The sequence below is a fragment of the Homo sapiens genome, chromosome 1 (assembly GCF_000001405.40).
Source record: "Homo sapiens chromosome 1, GRCh38.p14 Primary Assembly".
Classification (NCBI taxonomy): domain Eukaryota; kingdom Metazoa; phylum Chordata; class Mammalia; order Primates; family Hominidae; genus Homo; species Homo sapiens.
The window spans coordinates 109,276,324-109,292,364 of record NC_000001.11 but is presented as its reverse complement, the minus strand read 5'-3'; the positions used below and the strand labels follow the sequence as shown (position 1 = coordinate 109,292,364).

Below are 16,041 nucleotides of genomic sequence, written 5' to 3'. Positions count from 1 at the left end.
CCTACGTGTCCCTGTATTTGAGACTTTCTATGAAACATTTGGAAAGTTGCCATCCTTTAGCCAGGCTGTAAGGAACCACAGGGCCTTAAGACTCCCCTTTATCTTCCCACAACCACATTCGCTTCCACAGAGGTTTCTAACACTGTCCTTTTCCCTAGACATCTACGACACAACTGAATTCAACCCTCCACAGTACTAAGTGCTGGAAAGAGATGCCGAAGATGACTTGCTCTCTGCCTCTATGGGCTTTCCAATTTAAGTTGGGATAACAGGACGCACATCCACCACAAAGAGGCAAACAGCAGAACACAAACATGCACATAGCTAATTATAGACAGAGCCCCAAGACCTGAGGGCTGGAATGATACTCAAGAAATTGGAGGGCTGGGCAATGTGGCTCATGCCTGTAATCCCAGAACTTTGGGAAGCCGAGGCGGATGGATCACTTGAGGTCAGGAGTTCGAGACAAGCCCAGCCAACATGGTGAAACCCCATCTCTATAAAAATACAAAAATTAGGCTGGGCATAGCGTCTCACGCCCGTAATCCTAGCACTTTGTGAGGCCGAGGCAGGCGGATCACTTGAGGTTAAGAGTTCAAAACCAGCCTGGCCAACACAGTAAAACCCTGTCTCTACTAAAAATACAACAAAATTGGACAGGTATGGTGGCGAGCGCCTCTAATCCCAGCTACTCAGGATGCTGAGGGAGGAGAATCGCTTGAATCCAGGAGGCGGAGCTTGCAGTGAGCCGAGATCATGCCACTGCACTCCAGCCTGGGTGACAGAGCAAGACTCCATCTCAAAAAAAAAAAAAAAAAAAAAAAAGCAAAGTATTTGGAGCAGAGTCTCATTAAACCCAGGAAAAGAATAAAGGTGAGGTTCCCTTGATTATCTTTGTTTTCATTCTGATGACAAATAAGATATTGAAGGTGTTCTGTGATAGAATCTGCAGAAGATGATAACAGTTCCTCCTATCTTTGTATGAGCACGGTGCTCCTCTCATCAAGAGTTGGAGTCTATTTCCCCTTCCCTTGAATCATGTGACTTGCTTTGACAGAAAGAATGTAGCAGAAGTGACGTGGCACCAGTCCAGGCCTGGGCCTTAAGAGGTACCTTAGTTTCTGCTTTTGCTCTTAGAAGTCAGCTCCCATGTAAAGGATCTCAGGCTAGATTACTGAATTATGAGAGGCCACATGGAGGACAACCAAGCGTCCCCACTGAGAGCCAGCACCATGGCCCCGGACACACGTGGCCACCTTGGACCCTAGAGCCCCAATCAAGCCCAATCAACACCTTGTAGAGTAGAAACAAATCACCCCTGGAGAGCCCTGCCCAAATTGTAAAATCGTGAGCAAATAAATAGTGGCTGTTGTTTCAAGCCACTAAATTTTGAAGTGGTTTGCTATATAATCATAGATTACTGAAACAACCTTCTATGCAACAGGCACTGAACTAAGTGCTTTATCTCTTTTAATCTTCATTTTACAAATGAGGACGTTGAAGCTCCTAAGTTGTCCCAAGTCATGCAGCTAGTAAGCAGCAGAGCTAGGATTTGAACCAGGTCTGTCTGACTCCAAGGCTTTCCTGCTTTCTCTCATCCCTTTTATCTGGTGATCCCCACTGTAGAGGGTCTGGGTTGGAATCATGCGTTTAAGAAAGAAAATATTTCCAGGAGGCAATACATATTAGGAAAGGTTTTGAGGAGGTTGGGGAAGTGATTTGGCTGAGCAGAATGTGAAGGGCCTTTTTGTTCAGACCAAAGGTCTATTTTCAGTTGAGGCAAAGTATCTATTCCAGTCCGCAACTGAAGTTCCAGAAGAATTAAGCCTCCACGCCATAAGGCATCCTTTGTGTCATAAATTAACTTATTTCTATGCAATTAGAATGTTACTGGGTATATACTATCCCTTTGAAAACTGAGAAAATAGTCATGCAAATCATTAGTAAGGAACCCCTGCTTGAGAGTGTTGGGGGAGGGACCAGAGTCCAGTGACAGCCAGCCATGTACACAATGGCAAAGAGGCCTCCCTCCAGTGGAAGCAGGACCTAGGTCAGGAAGGGGTGAAATACCCCCAGTTATGATGCCCTAAGGATAAGTCAGACCTTTGGCCTCAGCTCACAGCCCCTTCCCTCTGCTGTTCCCTGAATTACTCAAGGGCCATCCTTTAAAGATTGTATATTCCCAAATTTCATGGTGAAGAAATAAAATTACACTGCCCAAGACCTCCAGCCATATTCTGCATTGAAGGAGAAGCACGCTGGAGTCCTTACTGTTCTCATTTATGCATCTGACACTTAAGGAAGACTTCTGAGTTCAGGCCTACTATGTGGCTGGGAGAGGAGGAATTTCTTTCTTTCTTTCTTTCTTTTCTTTCTTTTTCTTTTTTTAGACAGAGGCTCGCTCTGTCACCCAGGCTGGGGTGCAGTGGCATGATCTTGGTTCACTGCAACCTCAAACTCCCGGGTTCAAGTGATTCTCCTGCCTCAGCCTCCCATGTAGCTGGGACTACAGGCACGTGCCACCACACCCAGCTAATTTTTTGTATTTTAGTAGAGACGGGGTTTCACTGTGTTAGCCAGGATGGTCTCGAGCTCCTGATCTTGTGATCCGCCTGCCTCGGCCTCCCAAAGTGCTGGGATTACAGGCGTGAGCCACCACGCCTGGCCGGAATTTCTTCATTAATTCATTATTTATCCAAAAACTTAAACACCTGTTCCTACATGTCATTTTGGGGTTGAGATGAGGAAAACAAATATCAATATTTCCCAGATTACTGGCTGCGCGAAGAATTTTTGTGCCTGAAAGCTATACATTCTGGCTTTGCTGTCTTTCTAATGGAGGTGAAAGTAGTTCTGTTGCCTTCTTTTTTTTTTTTTCCTGGTACTGCAACAGCTTTCAAAATCATAATTTGGGCTGGGCATGGTGGCTCACGTCTGTAATCCCAACACTTTGGGAGGCCGAGGAGGGCGGATCATCTGAGGTCAGGAGTTCAAGACCAGCCTGACCAACATGGTGAAACCCCATCTCTACTAAAAATACAAAACTAGCTGGGTGTGGTGGCACATGCCTGTAATCCCAGCTACTCAGGAGGCTGAGGCAGGAGAATTGCTTGAACCCAGGAGGCAGAAGTTGCAGTGAGATGAGATCGCACCATTGCACTCCAGCCTGGGCCACAGAGCAAAACTCTTGTCTCAAAAAAAAAAAAAAAAAAAAAATCATAAACTGGTGGAGTTTCCTTAGGAGAAATTAACTTCCAGTTTGCTAAAACTTCCTCCTCTACTCATCTAAGGATGGATGAAGTGTAGGGTTTCTCTACTCAGGCTGCTCCAAGGGGAAGAAGGAACGCAGTTCATTAACAGCTTCTTCCCCTCTGATCTCCACTTTGCTACTACTTGCCTGGAGAGAGGGAAGCCCTACTTGGCTCTAATTCTCCCACCCTCCATGTACCCTAAATCCTGCAAGCAACTGACATTCCATCTTCATTAGCAGAAGAGGCAATCCTCTTCTCTCTGCTCTTCCTCACATAAACTTGCAAGTTCTGGGTCTTCCCACCCTAAATTCTAATAGGCTCTGTCAATGAAAAGAGTTAAACTCCATAAAATATTTGAAGAGATTTCTTCTGAGCCAAGTATGAGTGACCAAGGTCCCCTGACACAGCCCCAGAAGATCCTGACAACATGTGCCCAAAGTGGTGGGGCTATGGCTTGGTTTTAATCACTTCAGGGAGACATCAGACATCAGTCAATCCATGTGAGATGTACATTGGTTCAACCTGAAACGCCGGGCAACTTGAAGCATGGGTGGAGGGGCTTCCAGGTCATAGGCAGATTCAAAGGTTTTCTGCAGGGCACAGTGGCTCACGCCTGTAATCCCAGCACTTTGGGAGACCGAGGAGGGCGGATCACGAGGTCAGGAGATCAAGACCATCCTGGCTAACATGGTGAAATCCCATCTCTACTAAAAGTACAGAAAATTAGCCAGGTGCGGTGGCGGGCGCCTGTAGTCACAGCTACTCGGGAGGCTGAGGCAGCAGAATGGCGTGAACCCAGGAGGCGGAGCTTGCAGTGAGCCGAGATCACGCCACTGCACTCTAGCCTAGGCAACAGAGTAAGACTCCATCTCAAAAAAAAAAAGAAAAAAAGGGGGGGTTTCTGATTGGCAATTGGTTAAAAGAGTTATTATCCAAGACCTGGAACCAATTGAAAGGAATGTCTGGGTTAAGATAAAAAGTTATGGAGACCAAGGATTTATTATGCAGGTGAAGCCTCCAGGTAGCAGACTTCAGAGCTCTTATCAGACCTAAAAAGGTGCCAGACTCCTAGTTCTCTCCTGGATCAGGGAAAAGACCTGGGAAGGAACAGGAATTCTCTACAGAATGTAGATCTTCCCCACAAGACACAGCTCTGCAGGGCCATTTCAAAATATGTCAAAGAAATATATTTTGGTAAGAGCTAAGTTATGAGAACACAAAGGCATAAAAATGATACAATGGACTTTGGGGACTCAGGGAAAGGGTGGGATGGGGTGAGGGATAAAAGACTACAAATTGGGTGCAATGTACACTGCTTGGGTGATGGGTGCACCAAAATCTCAGAAATCACCATAAAGAACTTATTCATGTAACCAAACCCCACCTGTTCCCCAAAGACCTATTGAAAATATATATATTGCACTGGTAAAGTCTCGTGTACATTGCCCATAACTGGATCCCAAAGGACAGGAGTTATTTGAAGCAGATGAGTGAATTTGCAGCATCTTTTAAAATAAATTTTGTGGGCCGGGTGCGGTGGCTCACGCCTGTAATCCCAGCACTTTGGGAAGCCGAGGCGGGCGGATCACGAGGTCAGGAGATCGAGACGATCCTGGCTAACACGGTGAAACCCCGTCTCCACTAAAAATACAAAAAATTAGCCAGACATGATGGCAGGTGCCTGTAGTCCCAGCCACTTGAGGCAGGAGAATGGCGTGAACCCGGGAAGTGGAGCTTGCAGTGAGCCAAGATCGTGCCACTGGACTCCAGCCTAGGCAACAGAGTGAGACTCCGTCTCAACAACAACAACAACAAAAGGAAAAAAAAAAAAAGAACAGTAAACTTTGTCCTTCATTTGCTTCTAAAAAAAGAAAAAGAAAAGAAAAATATATTTTGAGGTAAAATACTTTAATTTCTTTCAGGGCCTACTGTCTGTCATGTGATACTATACTAGAATCAGGCTGGAATTTGGCGTCTTATTGTCAGAGGCGTTTCGACCAGAGCAATTCCATCTTGAATAGGGGCTGGTTAAATAAGGCTGAGACCTACTGGGCTGCATTCCCAGACAGGAATTCTAAGTAACAAGATGAGATCCTAAGGAGGTCAGCACAAGATACAGGTCATAAAGACCTTGCTGATGAAACAAGTTGCAGTAAAGAAGCCGGCTAAAACCCACCAAAACCAAGACGATGATGAGAGTGACCTCACTGCTACACTCCCACTAGCACCATGACAGTTTACAAATGCCATGGCAACATCCAGAAGTTACCCTATATGGTCTAAAAAAAGGAGGCATGAATAATCCACCCCTTGTTTAGCATATCATCAAGAAATAATCATAAAAATGGGCAACCACCAGCCCTCGGGCTGCTCTGCCTATGGAGTAGCCATTCTTTATTCCTTTACTTTCTTAATCAACTTGCTTTCACTTTATGGACTCGCCTTGAATTCTTTCTCGTGTGAGATCCAAGAACCCTCACTTGGGGTCTGGATTGGGACCCCTTTCCAGTAATATTATTGCTACAAAAAGTCTGTTTCTGGCCAAGCGTGGTGGTTCATCCCTGTAATCCCAGCACTTTGGGAGGCCAAGGTGGGCGGATCACCTGAGGCAGTTCACGGCCATGGCGAAACACCATCTCTACTAAAAATACAAAAATTAGCTGGGCTTGGTGGCGTGTGCCTGTAATTCCAGCTACTCGGGAGGCTGAGACGGGAGAATCGCTTGAACTCAGGAGGCAGAGGTTGCAATGAGCTGAGATTGCACCACCGCACTCCAGCCTGGGCAACAAAGTGAGACTCCATCTCAAAAAAAAAAAAAAAAAAAAAAGTCTGTTTCCTTAGCCTTAAGATCTTTGTGGTTTTGTTGTTGTTATTGTTGTTGTTTGTTTTTTTTGTTTTTGAGACAGTGTCTCGTTCTGTCACCCAGACTGGAGTGCAGTGGCGTGATAGCTCACTGCGACCCCCGCCTCCTGGGTTCAAGCGATTCTCCTGCCTCAGTCTCCCAAGTAGCTGGGATTACAGGTGCCTACCACCATGCCCGGCTAATTTTTTTGTACTTTTAGTAGAGATGGTGTTTCACCACGTTGGCCAGGCTGGTCTTGAACTCCCGACCTCAGATGATCTGCCTGCCTCGGCCTCCCAAAGGGCTGGGATTACAGGCGTGAGCCACCGCCCCCTGGCCAGATCTCTGTTTTAATGTTAATGTTGGTCAGCTGTGCCTGATTCCCAAAGGGCAGAGAGTATAATGAGGCATGTCCAACCCCCACTTTCCATTATGGCCTGAACTAGTTTTCCAGGTTAAATCTGGAATGCCCTTGTCAGAGAGAAGGGGTCCATTCAGTTGGTTGGGGGGCTTAGAATTTTATTTTTGGTTTCCAGCTTCTTGGTCTCTGGTGGCATTTATTACAGTGACATCTCACTCCTGCAGACCTCACCACCTCAACGTCACAGCCAAAAACTAGAAAGTAAACAAGAAAGCCTATAAATGGCCAAAAAAATGGGCATGAACTCTGAGGACTAAAGCTCAGGTTCTGTTTACCAGAAAGCTCCTCAACCATTCCCTTAGGGCTTTTTCACTTTAAATATTCAGAACCTTTCTAGGAGCTCAGTTTATTACTGGAAAGGGGTCTTGATCCATCCAGACCCCAAGTGAGGATTCTTTGATCTTTCAAAAGAAAGAATTCAGGACGGGTCCACAGAGTAAAGTGAAAGTGAATTTATTAAGAAAGTAAAGGAATAAAAGAATGGCTACTCCATAGAGCAGCCCCAAGGGCTGCTGGTAAGCTATTTTTATGGTTATTTCTTGATTATATGCTAAACAAGGGGTGGATTATTCATAGGTTTTCTGGGAAAGGAGCATGATTTCCTGGAACTGAAGGCTCCTCTCCCTTTTATACCATATAGACGTTGCCATAGCATTTGTAAACTGTCAGGACGCTGGCAGGAGTGTCTTTTAGCATGCTAATGAATTACAACTAGCATATAATAAGCAGTGAGGATGACCAGCTGTCACTTTCTTTTTTTTTTTTTTTGAGACGGAGTCTCACTCTGTCGCCCAGGCTGGAGTGCGGAGGTGCGATCTCGGCTCACTGCAAGCTCTGCCTCCCAAGTTCACGCCATTCTCCTGCCTCAGCCTCCCGAGTAGTTGGGGCTACAGGGGCCCGCCACCACGCCCGGCTAATTTTTTGTATTTTTAGTACAGACGGGGTTTCACCGTGTTAGCCAGGATGGTCTGGATCTCCTGACCTCGTGATTCGCCCGCCTCGGCCTCCCAAAGTGCTGGGACTACAGGCGTGAGCCACCGCGCCTGGCCTACTTTCTTTACCATCTTGGTTTCTGGCAGATTTGGCCGGCTTCTTTACTGCACCGTTTTATTAGAGGGATGTTTGAGATCTGTATCTTGTGCGGACCTGCTGTCTCCTCCTGTTGTTACCAGAAAGGGGTCCGGATCCAGACCCCAAGAGAGGGTTCTTGGCCCTTGCATAGGAAATAATTCAGGGCAAGTCCATAAAGTGAAAGCAAGTTTATTAAGAAAGAAAAGGGATAAAGAATGCCTACTCCAGAGGCAGAGCAGCCCGGAGGGCTGCTGGTTGGCCATTTTTATGGTTATTTCTTGATTATATGCTAAACAAGGGATGAATTATTCATGAGTTTTCCGGGAAAGGGGTAGGCAACTCCCTGGAACTAAGAATTCCTCCCCTTTTTAGACCATGTAGGGTAATTTCCTGATGTTGCCATGGTATTTGTAAACCGTGGTGATGCTGTCTGGAGTGTCTTTTAGCATGCTAATACATTATAATTAGCGTATAATGAGGACTGAGGACCTCCAGAGGTCAGTTTCATCGCCATCTTGGTTTCGGTAGGTTTTGGCTGGCTTCTTTACCGCATGCTGTTTTACCACCAGGGTCTTTGTGACCTGTATCTTGTGCCAACCTCCTATCTCATCCTGTGACTTAGAATGCCTAACCTCCTAGGAATACAGCCCAGGTCTCAACCTTATTTTACCCAGCCTCTATTCCAGATGGAGTCGTTCTGGTTTGAAGCCTCTGACAAGTTCACTGGTGGCCCGGGCAACATTTAGAAACAACAGAGACAACACTCCTAACAAGTTGGTTTAAGCATTTTACAAATACTGCTTTTAGTTCAGAGGGGGCTACTTACAAACACCCCCTCTAAATCCCCTAAGGGCACACGGTAGAAAACGCCTTCATAATTATCCTCGTAACACCGTAACTGCGAGGACCAACATCCTCCTTTCACAGATAAGCGAAGAGAGGTGAAAAGAGGGCAAATATACTCAAGGCAGCCGCCTCTAAACCGAAACTTGGGTTCTGAGGTCAGTTAAACTTGGGTTGCATTTGAACCTAAGCCTGCCTGCGTGAAAAGCCCGTTGCTTTCTTTGCACCTCAGCTGCCTCAGGTTCTTGAAGAGGCGATGGAGGATGTACTTCTAAGAGAACCTCAATATACCTACAATATAAGTGTTTAGGTGCTCCCTTAACTTGGAAAAAACCCACAACTGAGGAACCTCGGCCAATGCGGCGCCTGCATATTGAGTGCGCCCAAGAAAACGAATTTCCTCCCGTAGAGCGTCGGTTAGCGGCCACGTTAGGCAGCACAACCGTTCTGGAGACTGGGTGCTCGGCGGCCCAGCAGAGGGAGCGGGGCGGGGCGCGAGTTCCATACTCGTGGGTCCGTTTCTTCCCTCCTGGCCAGCCGCGCTCTGCTCCCATCTGCCTACGGGAAAGAGAGTCTCCGCGCACGCGAGCACGCGCACTCGCAGCCTCAACCCTCGGCTCCGCCACCGGGATGCAGTCTTCTGGGAACGGTTCTCCCCCAGCCCCCACCGGCTGACTTCCGGCCGGCAGCTCCTCAGCCCCTCCCCCTGAGGATTCACCAATCACGGTGCGCGTGTGGCTTGAGTAGGTGGGGCCTGAGAGATTCGAAAGGAGCCCCGCCCCCTCGGAGCTGATTCCCGGGACTAGGTTGCGGGAGAAAGCCTGTTGCGTGGAAGATAAGGCGGCGCGGGAAGTGGACACAGGGTGGGCTGGAGGTGTGCTTCGCGTGTGATGCCAGGGGAGTGGAAAGGTGGCTTGGGGAGTGCAGAACCCTGAGGATAGTGGCGGGGAGGAAGATGGGGCGTGCAGGCCGCCCCCAGTGAGGAGAGGCCAGGATGCAGGGCGGCTCCAGGGCAATCTGGGCAGTTGGGGGAGCCCTCCGTATCGTTCCCGGAGGTAGCAGGAGTAGCTGTGCGGGAGGTGCCACTCCTGGGCGCTTGCTTTGCCTCCAGCATGACCCCCGACCCTGGCTTGCACCCTGAATCTAGCTGCGAGCCTTGGGCAGAATGGATACCTGAGGAAAGGTATGGTTTCTCTCCAGCTCAGATCTAACTGGACTCTCGCTCCTGCTGGCTGGACATGGAGGATTTGGAGGAAGGTAAGGAAAGGAGGGAGGGAAGAATGAAAGGGAGGAGTGAGACCCAGCGATGGAGAGCTGCATCAGGGACCCATGACTGGCTTTCATTCTTCTTTCCCCTTCAGATGTAAGGTTTATTGTGGATGAGACCTTGGACTTTGGGGGGCTGTCACCATCTGACAGGTACCAGCCTCTTTATCCCACTTATTTTCCTCTAACAGTACCTCTTTGTCTCGAATCCCTTACTGCTGAATTATTGGCTTGGGTTGGTAACTTAGCAAGGTTTGGCGCACTTGGGGCTGCTGGGCGGCTGGCTGACTCGGGCCTCTATGACACTATTGGTAGCGGGGAGAGAAGGGAGAAGCTGGAGTTAGATTTCAGGGTGTTAAGAAGAAGGATAAGTGGATTTGCTGCATCTCCATCCTGGCATCATTTCTGATGTCCGTAAATGCTAAAGGCCTATTAGGCCCCATAGAACCAGGTATCTCATCGCCCAGAGGCCACATCTCACAGCCAGCATGGGCATCGGGGCCTAGGGTCATGTCCCTGGCTCTGTTGTGGGGCTTTTATGCAGTCTCCCTTGCATAATCTCCTGTTCCCTTTTGCATGGGCATGATGCCTGGTTTGTTTCCTGTCTCAGCCGTGAGGAGGAAGACATAACAGTGTTGGTGACTCCAGAGAAACCACTTCGACGGGGCCTCTCCCACCGAAGTGACCCAAATGCAGTGGCACCTGCCCCCCAGGGTGTGAGGCTCAGCCTAGGCCCCCTCAGTCCAGAGAAGCTGGAGGAGATCCTCGATGAGGCCAACCGGCTGGCCGCTCAGCTGGAGCAGTGTGCCCTGCAGGATCGGGAGAGCGCAGGCGAGGGCCTGGGGCCTCGCCGAGTGAAGCCCAGTCCTCGGCGGGAGACCTTTGTGCTGAAGGATAGTCCTGTCCGAGACCTGCTGCCCACTGTGAACTCTTTGACGCGGAGCACCCCCTCCCCAAGCAGCCTGACGCCTCGACTCCGGAGTAATGATAGGAAGGGGTCAGTCAGGGCTCTCCGGGCTACATCTGGAAAGAGGCCCTCCAACATGAAGAGGGTGAGTTGAGAGAGTTGAGTTGGAGGTGTGCCCCAGACATGGTGTGTGCCATGATGCAGGGAGTGGTTTCCTTATTGGTAAAACAGGGATAGCATTTCTACATCTAGAATTGTTGGAATTAAATGAGAACCATGAAAAAAGAGAACCAAAACTCTTACCACAGTGTCTGAGTATATGTCTATGATAAACTCAATAAATGGTATTGGCAATAGTGATGGTGATGGTGATGTGGTGATGTTAGCAGCTAACTTCTACCCTTCCTTACTGGGATGTAGACAACTCTCCACCTCTATTTCTTAATTCCTTAAGCCACAGAACAGATATTTTTTCCACTCTAGTCTTTTTTCTCTCTCTCTTTGTGTTTCAGGAGTCACCCACTTGCAATCTGTTCCCTGCATCCAAAAGCCCAGCATCTTCTCCTCTTACCCGATCGACTCCCCCAGTCCGGGGGAGAGCCGGGCCCAGTGGGAGAGCAGCAGCCAGTGAGGAGACCAGAGCAGCCAAGTTGCGGGTGAGTGGGAGTGGGGAGTTTGTGGGATTGACCCTGAAATTTCTCCACCCCTCTCCACCAGGCCCACCCACCCCCATCAGATCCGTCCTGGCCCCACAGCCTTCTACCAGCAACTCTCAACGCCTGCCCCGGCCGCAGGGAGCAGCTGCTAAATCTTCCAGTCAACTGCCCATTCCCTCGGCCATCCCCAGGCCTGCCAGCCGAATGCCACTCACCAGCCGGAGTGTGCCACCTGGCAGAGGTGCCCTACCTCCGGATTCTCTGTCAACTCGAAAAGGGCTTCCAAGACCAAGCACTGCAGGACACAGAGTGCGGGAAAGTGGACACAAGGGTAAGAGGTCAGGAGGAAGAATGCCCGCCCTTGCCCAGCGTGTCCTCACCCTCCCAGAGCTGTCAACAGTGACCACTTTTGCCATCCTTATTGCAATTCAATTGGAAGATGGGGAGACTGAGTTACAGAGAGGATATGGGGCTGGACAGAGTCTGAGTCTTAGTTTTCAAATACCTCATGGTCAGGGGGAGAGTACTAATCCCACACTCGCTCCCTTCATCCAGTATTTCTTTTCGAGGTCAGTTAAACTTGCTGCTAACTCATTTCTTTTGTTAACCCCCATGAAGTTCCTGTTTCCCAGCGACTAAATCTTCCTGTCATGGGTGCCACTCGCAGCAATCTGCAGCCCCCCAGGAAAGTGGCAGTCCCAGGACCTACCAGGTCAGTCTGGTCCTCCCTTGCCCATCCTGTCTCCCTACCCCGCCATCATCTGGGATTCCAAGCTGTTATGCACATCAGCCCTGAATTTTGTATGGAAAGATGGAGAGAGGAGGGGAGCCTGGGGCAGGGGAAGGGGGATCCCATTTCTTCCCACCCTGAGGAGCTTGAATTCTGCTGGGTGACAAATGGGCTTGAGGAAGAAGGGCATTTTAAAGCAGTTATTCCTTCTATTTCTTTAGGTAAAGAGATCAGGACAGCAAGCAAGACTTCAGTAGCAAACCACTACAGTCAGTACCTGGACTCGCCTCTACCCAGCAGACCCTGACTCCAGCAGATTCTGGCCCAGGGACAGGAGGAAGAGATGCCACCAGGGCTGGTCTCCCAGGAGTAGAGACCATGGGAAATGGGGTGGATTAGGATTGAGCTGGAGAAGACTTAAACTCTCTGGGTTGAAAGAAGATTAGGGGAAAAGAGGTCACCTTCCAGCAGTGAAATGAACAAATAGAAGATGAGAAGTACAGGCAAGTGGTTTGTCTTTATCCACCCCCACTGTTGTGGTCAGCCCCAGAGAATTTTATCTTCTTCCTTGGCATTGGTTCACTGGACATTTCCACGTGAGCGGCCTCCGTAGCTAACCTCCCTGCCCTCTGAGGAGCCATCTTCCTGAATCGCATTCTCTACTGGACTCTGGCCTGCTTGGAGAGGTGGCAGCAGGCACCTGGTCTTCAGAAATTGTTTCCTGTGAATTCTGTGACTCCTAATAGGCCAGTTTGTGATAAGCTTACTCTATGAGTCTTCATTTTTCTAAAATAAAGTGAATGTATTTTTATATTCTCTGTATATCTGGAAGTCGATCCTGCTCCTATTTCTTTCTCTTTTTTTAGACAGAATCTTGCTCTGTCACCCAGGCTGGAGTTTAATGGCGCGATCTGGGCTCACTGCAACTTCCACCTTCTGGGTTCAAGCAATTCTCCTTTCTCAGCCTCCCGAGTAGCTGAGATTACAGGCGCCTGCCACCCACGTCCGGCTAATTTTTTGTATTTCTAGTAGAGACGGGGTTTCACCATGTTGGCCAGGCTGGTCTCAAACTCCTAACCTCAGGTGATCCACCCGCCTCAGCCTCCCAAAGTGCTGGGATTACAGGTGTGAGCCACCGCACCCAGCCCCTGCTCCAATTTCTCTTTTTTTTTTTTTTTTTTTTTTTGAGACGGAGTTTTGTTCTTGGTGCCCAGGCTGGAGCACAATGGTGCGATCTCAGCTCACTGCAATCTCTGTCTCCCGGGTTCAAGGGATTCTCCTGCCTCAGCCGCCCCGAGTAGCTGGGATTACAGGCATGCACCACCACATCTGGCTCATTTTGTATTTTTACTAGAGATGGGGTTTCTCCATGTTGGTCAGGTTGGTCTTGAACTCTCAACCTCACGTGATCCGCCCGCCTCGGCCTCCCAAAGTGCTGGGATTACAGGTGTGAGCCACCGCACCCAGCCCCCTGCTCCAATTTCTAACAAATTTGGAGTAAATCTCTAATTCCAGGCAGGGAGCCAGGATGGGCCTCCTAGGCAGGGGCCTGAATAGGCCCTAGGGCCTTGAGATTCCAGCTTATCAGGCTGTGACTGCTCCCCTTGTTGGCATTAGACAAGGACAGGCTGCCTTTCCCCAGGTCTCAGGTATCATTGGAAGGTCCAGATGAAAGTTAAGTGTAGCTTAATTCACAGTATGTGAGGCTATTAAGCTAGGATCTAGGTAGATTCTTATTTATATCCTAAACTTGAATGTCCTTTACTGGCAAAATAATGGAGCCTCCTAGAAACGCACCAGCTTCTTGTTTGCTCTCCCTGTGAGACGTGAAGGCCCTTTGGTGGTGTTCATCTTCCCTGATCACCTCAGCCAGAGCTGCTGGAACACCTAGTCAGGCTCCAACTAACATCACTGGGGTTGTCTGTGCTCTCCTCATCTCCCCTGTTAGACTTGGGGGTGAGCGTCAGGATCCGGAAACCTCTGCAGTACCCTAGTGTTGTGACCTGTGTGTAGCAGAGCATTTAGTTTATTTATTCAGAAGATATTCGAGTGCAAGATGGTGTTTGTTGAAGGAATAACAAAGACACGTTTAACAGATTTGGTGTAGGGCCTCCCTTTTTTTGCAGCCTTTAACTCTAGTAATCAGAACCAATTCAATTCCTTCTGAGTTTTGAGGAAACTTCCCTCCCTGAAGGTCAGGCCATGACTTGAGAAAAGCAGCAGGTAAGTGGGCAAAGAGAAGTGGGACTGCCAGCTGGTGCCCCCACCCATGCCTATTTGGCCATAAATGCCTGACTTAGGCACCAAAGTGTCCTTGCCCTGTCCCTGGAGCCAGAGGCCCATCACTGCTTTCCCCTTTTTGTGGCTGATTCCAAGGTTCACCTGGCACATTCACCTACTTCAGTGACAATGCCTAGATATGCACCTTTCCCTGAATTCTGCAGCAACTCCCGCAGCCTCTGGGATTCCAGGAATCGGTGGGAGGGAAGGGGTATGCAGACAGACACGGAGTATTCAGCTCTGGAGAAATTTGGCGTAAGGCAAGAAACCTCAGGTGTGCTTCCCAGCTGCGCCCTGCACTGGTGTCTAGTGAGCAGGGCCTGTTGGTGGCTCCTGGGCCAATAGAAGCACTGGAAGGTCAGCAGGCTTAGGTACACACCTGGGTGAGGCCAGAAGGTGACATGTTTGTGTGGAGCCATGTCCAGGGTGGGTCCTTAGAGGCAAAACAAGCTGCAGACCCATGTGTTGTTGCCACCTGGCGGCTGGAGAGGGCATGGCACATCCTGTTCGCCCTCTTGGTCAGCCTTGAGTTTTGTCCCCACCCCACCTCCTCCCACTCTAAACCTGCTTCAGCAGCACTTTCAGTAAGCAGTGCCAGTCAGGGAGGAGGCCCTCCTGCCATGGCTGCCCTTCTTGTTCAGCCACCTGCCTGTCTCCTTCCCTTTGGGCCTGGCTTTCTACTTTTTCTCTCTGTGCACTCTTCCATTGCACCCAGTAGCAACAACACAGAAAGCCAGTGTTTACTGGCCTCTTACTATGTACTATGAACTCTTCCAAGCACTCTACATGTGTTAACTCACTTAATCCTCATAAAAGCTCAATTAGGTGGATGCTTTTATCATCATCCTCATTTTGTGGGCAGAGAAACTTAAGGCTCAGAAAGATTAAGTCATTCAGTCTGGTTCTAGGGTTTGTGTCCTTTTTTTTTTTTTTTTGAGACAAGGTCTGGCTCTATTACCCAGGCTGGAGTGCAGTGGTGCGATCTTGGCTCACTGCAGCCTCTACTTCCTGGGTTTGAGCCATCCTCCCACCTCAGCCTCCCTAGTAGCTGGGACTACAGGCATGCACCACCACAGCTGGCTTTTTTGTATTTTTTGTAGATATGGGTTTCACCATGTTGGCCAGGCTGGTCTCTTAACTCCTGGCCTCAAGTGATCCACATGCCTTGGCCTCCCAAAGTATTGGGATTACAGGCGTGAACCACTGCCCAGCTAGGGTTTGTGTTCTTAATCATCACCCTATATTGTCCCCAGGTTAACTCCCTTTCTAGTTTTTTTGTTTGTTTTGAGATGGAGCCTCGCTCTGTCACCCAGGCTGGAGTGCAGTGGCACGATCTCAGCTCACTGCAATCTCCACCTCCCAGGTTCAAGTGATTCTCCTGTCTCAGCCCCTGGAGTAGCTGCGATTACAGGCATGTACCACCGCACCCAGCTAATTTTTTTGTATTTTTAGTAGAGACAGAGTTTCACCATGTTGCCCAGGCTAGTCTCAAACTCCTGATCTCAGGTGATCTGTCCACCTCGGCCTCCCAAAGTGCTGGGATTACAGGCATGAGCCACCGCACCCAGCTGCCTTTCTAGTTTATTGAATGGAACTTCGACAAACACAAAACTTGGAACTAGGCCGGATGCGGTAGCTCATATCTGTGACCCCAGTTTGGGAGGCCAAGGCGGGAGGATCACTTGAGCCTAGGAATTCAAGACCAGCCTGATCAACATAGTGAGACCCCGCCTCTATTAAATTTAAAAAGCATATATACTTTTAAATATATATC

At 49.0% G+C, this 16,041-nt stretch overlaps 1 protein-coding gene across 32 annotated transcripts, besides 5 other annotated features; it reads left to right on the top strand.

Moving 5' to 3' along the window:
- Window positions 8,126-8,851: an enhancer, noted in NCBI's record as "NANOG-H3K27ac-H3K4me1 hESC enhancer chr1:109826136-109826861 (GRCh37/hg19 assembly coordinates)". NCBI's record gives its function as "activates a minimal SCP1, AML or CMV promoter by ChIP-STARR-seq in primed H9 embryonic stem cells {active_cell/tissue: H9 hESC(primed)}" and the evidence as "EXISTENCE:reporter gene assay evidence [ECO:0000049][PMID:30033119]".
- Window positions 8,709-8,758: an enhancer, noted in NCBI's record as "active region_1439". NCBI's record gives its function as "activates an Ori minimal core promoter by ATAC-STARR-seq in GM12878 lymphoblastoid cells {active_cell/tissue: GM12878}" and the evidence as "EXISTENCE:reporter gene assay evidence [ECO:0000049][PMID:35858748]".
- On the top strand, window positions 9,220-12,809 carry PSRC1 (proline and serine rich coiled-coil 1). Of its 32 annotated transcripts, none has more exons than XM_005271283.4 (8): window positions 9,220-9,291; window positions 9,634-9,685; window positions 9,790-9,847; window positions 10,305-10,746; window positions 11,114-11,228; window positions 11,319-11,588; window positions 11,876-11,969; window positions 12,209-12,809. In XM_005271283.4, the coding sequence occupies exons 2-8, from the start codon at window positions 9,667-9,669 to the stop codon at window positions 12,210-12,212; spliced, it is 1,002 nt and encodes a 333-aa protein (XP_005271340.1). In that variant the 5' UTR covers window positions 9,220-9,291; window positions 9,634-9,666; the 3' UTR covers window positions 12,213-12,809. The 32 variants fall into 32 exon arrangements, with proteins under 32 accessions (XP_005271340.1, XP_047288240.1, XP_047288231.1 ...); XM_047432284.1 differs by having other exon boundaries at window positions 11,114-11,257; window positions 11,449-11,588; XM_047432275.1 differs by having other exon boundaries at window positions 11,114-11,257; window positions 11,396-11,588.
- Window positions 14,191-14,940: an enhancer, noted in NCBI's record as "H3K27ac-H3K4me1 hESC enhancer chr1:109820047-109820796 (GRCh37/hg19 assembly coordinates)". NCBI's record gives its function as "activates a minimal SCP1, AML or CMV promoter by ChIP-STARR-seq in primed H9 embryonic stem cells {active_cell/tissue: H9 hESC(primed)}" and the evidence as "EXISTENCE:reporter gene assay evidence [ECO:0000049][PMID:30033119]".
- Window positions 14,460-14,519: an enhancer, noted in NCBI's record as "active region_1438". NCBI's record gives its function as "activates an Ori minimal core promoter by ATAC-STARR-seq in GM12878 lymphoblastoid cells {active_cell/tissue: GM12878}" and the evidence as "EXISTENCE:reporter gene assay evidence [ECO:0000049][PMID:35858748]".
- Window positions 14,604-14,898: an enhancer, noted in NCBI's record as "tiled region #472; HepG2 Activating DNase unmatched - State 5:Enh, and K562 Activating DNase unmatched - State 5:Enh". NCBI's record gives its function as "activates a minimal TATA promoter and a strong SV40 promoter by Sharpr-MPRA in HepG2 and K562 cells {active_cell/tissue: HepG2 | K562}" and the evidence as "EXISTENCE:reporter gene assay evidence [ECO:0000049][PMID:27701403]".

Bases quoted from the DNA above. Each gene is read 5' to 3' on its own strand.
- PSRC1 (NM_001363309.2), top strand. The intron at 9,848-10,304 runs GTACCAGCCTCT...TTCCTGTCTCAG, and splicing joins GGGCTGTCACCATCTGACAG to CCGTGAGGAGGAAGACATAA. The intron at 11,589-11,875 runs GTAAGAGGTCAG...ACCCCCATGAAG, and splicing joins GCGGGAAAGTGGACACAAGG to TTCCTGTTTCCCAGCGACTA.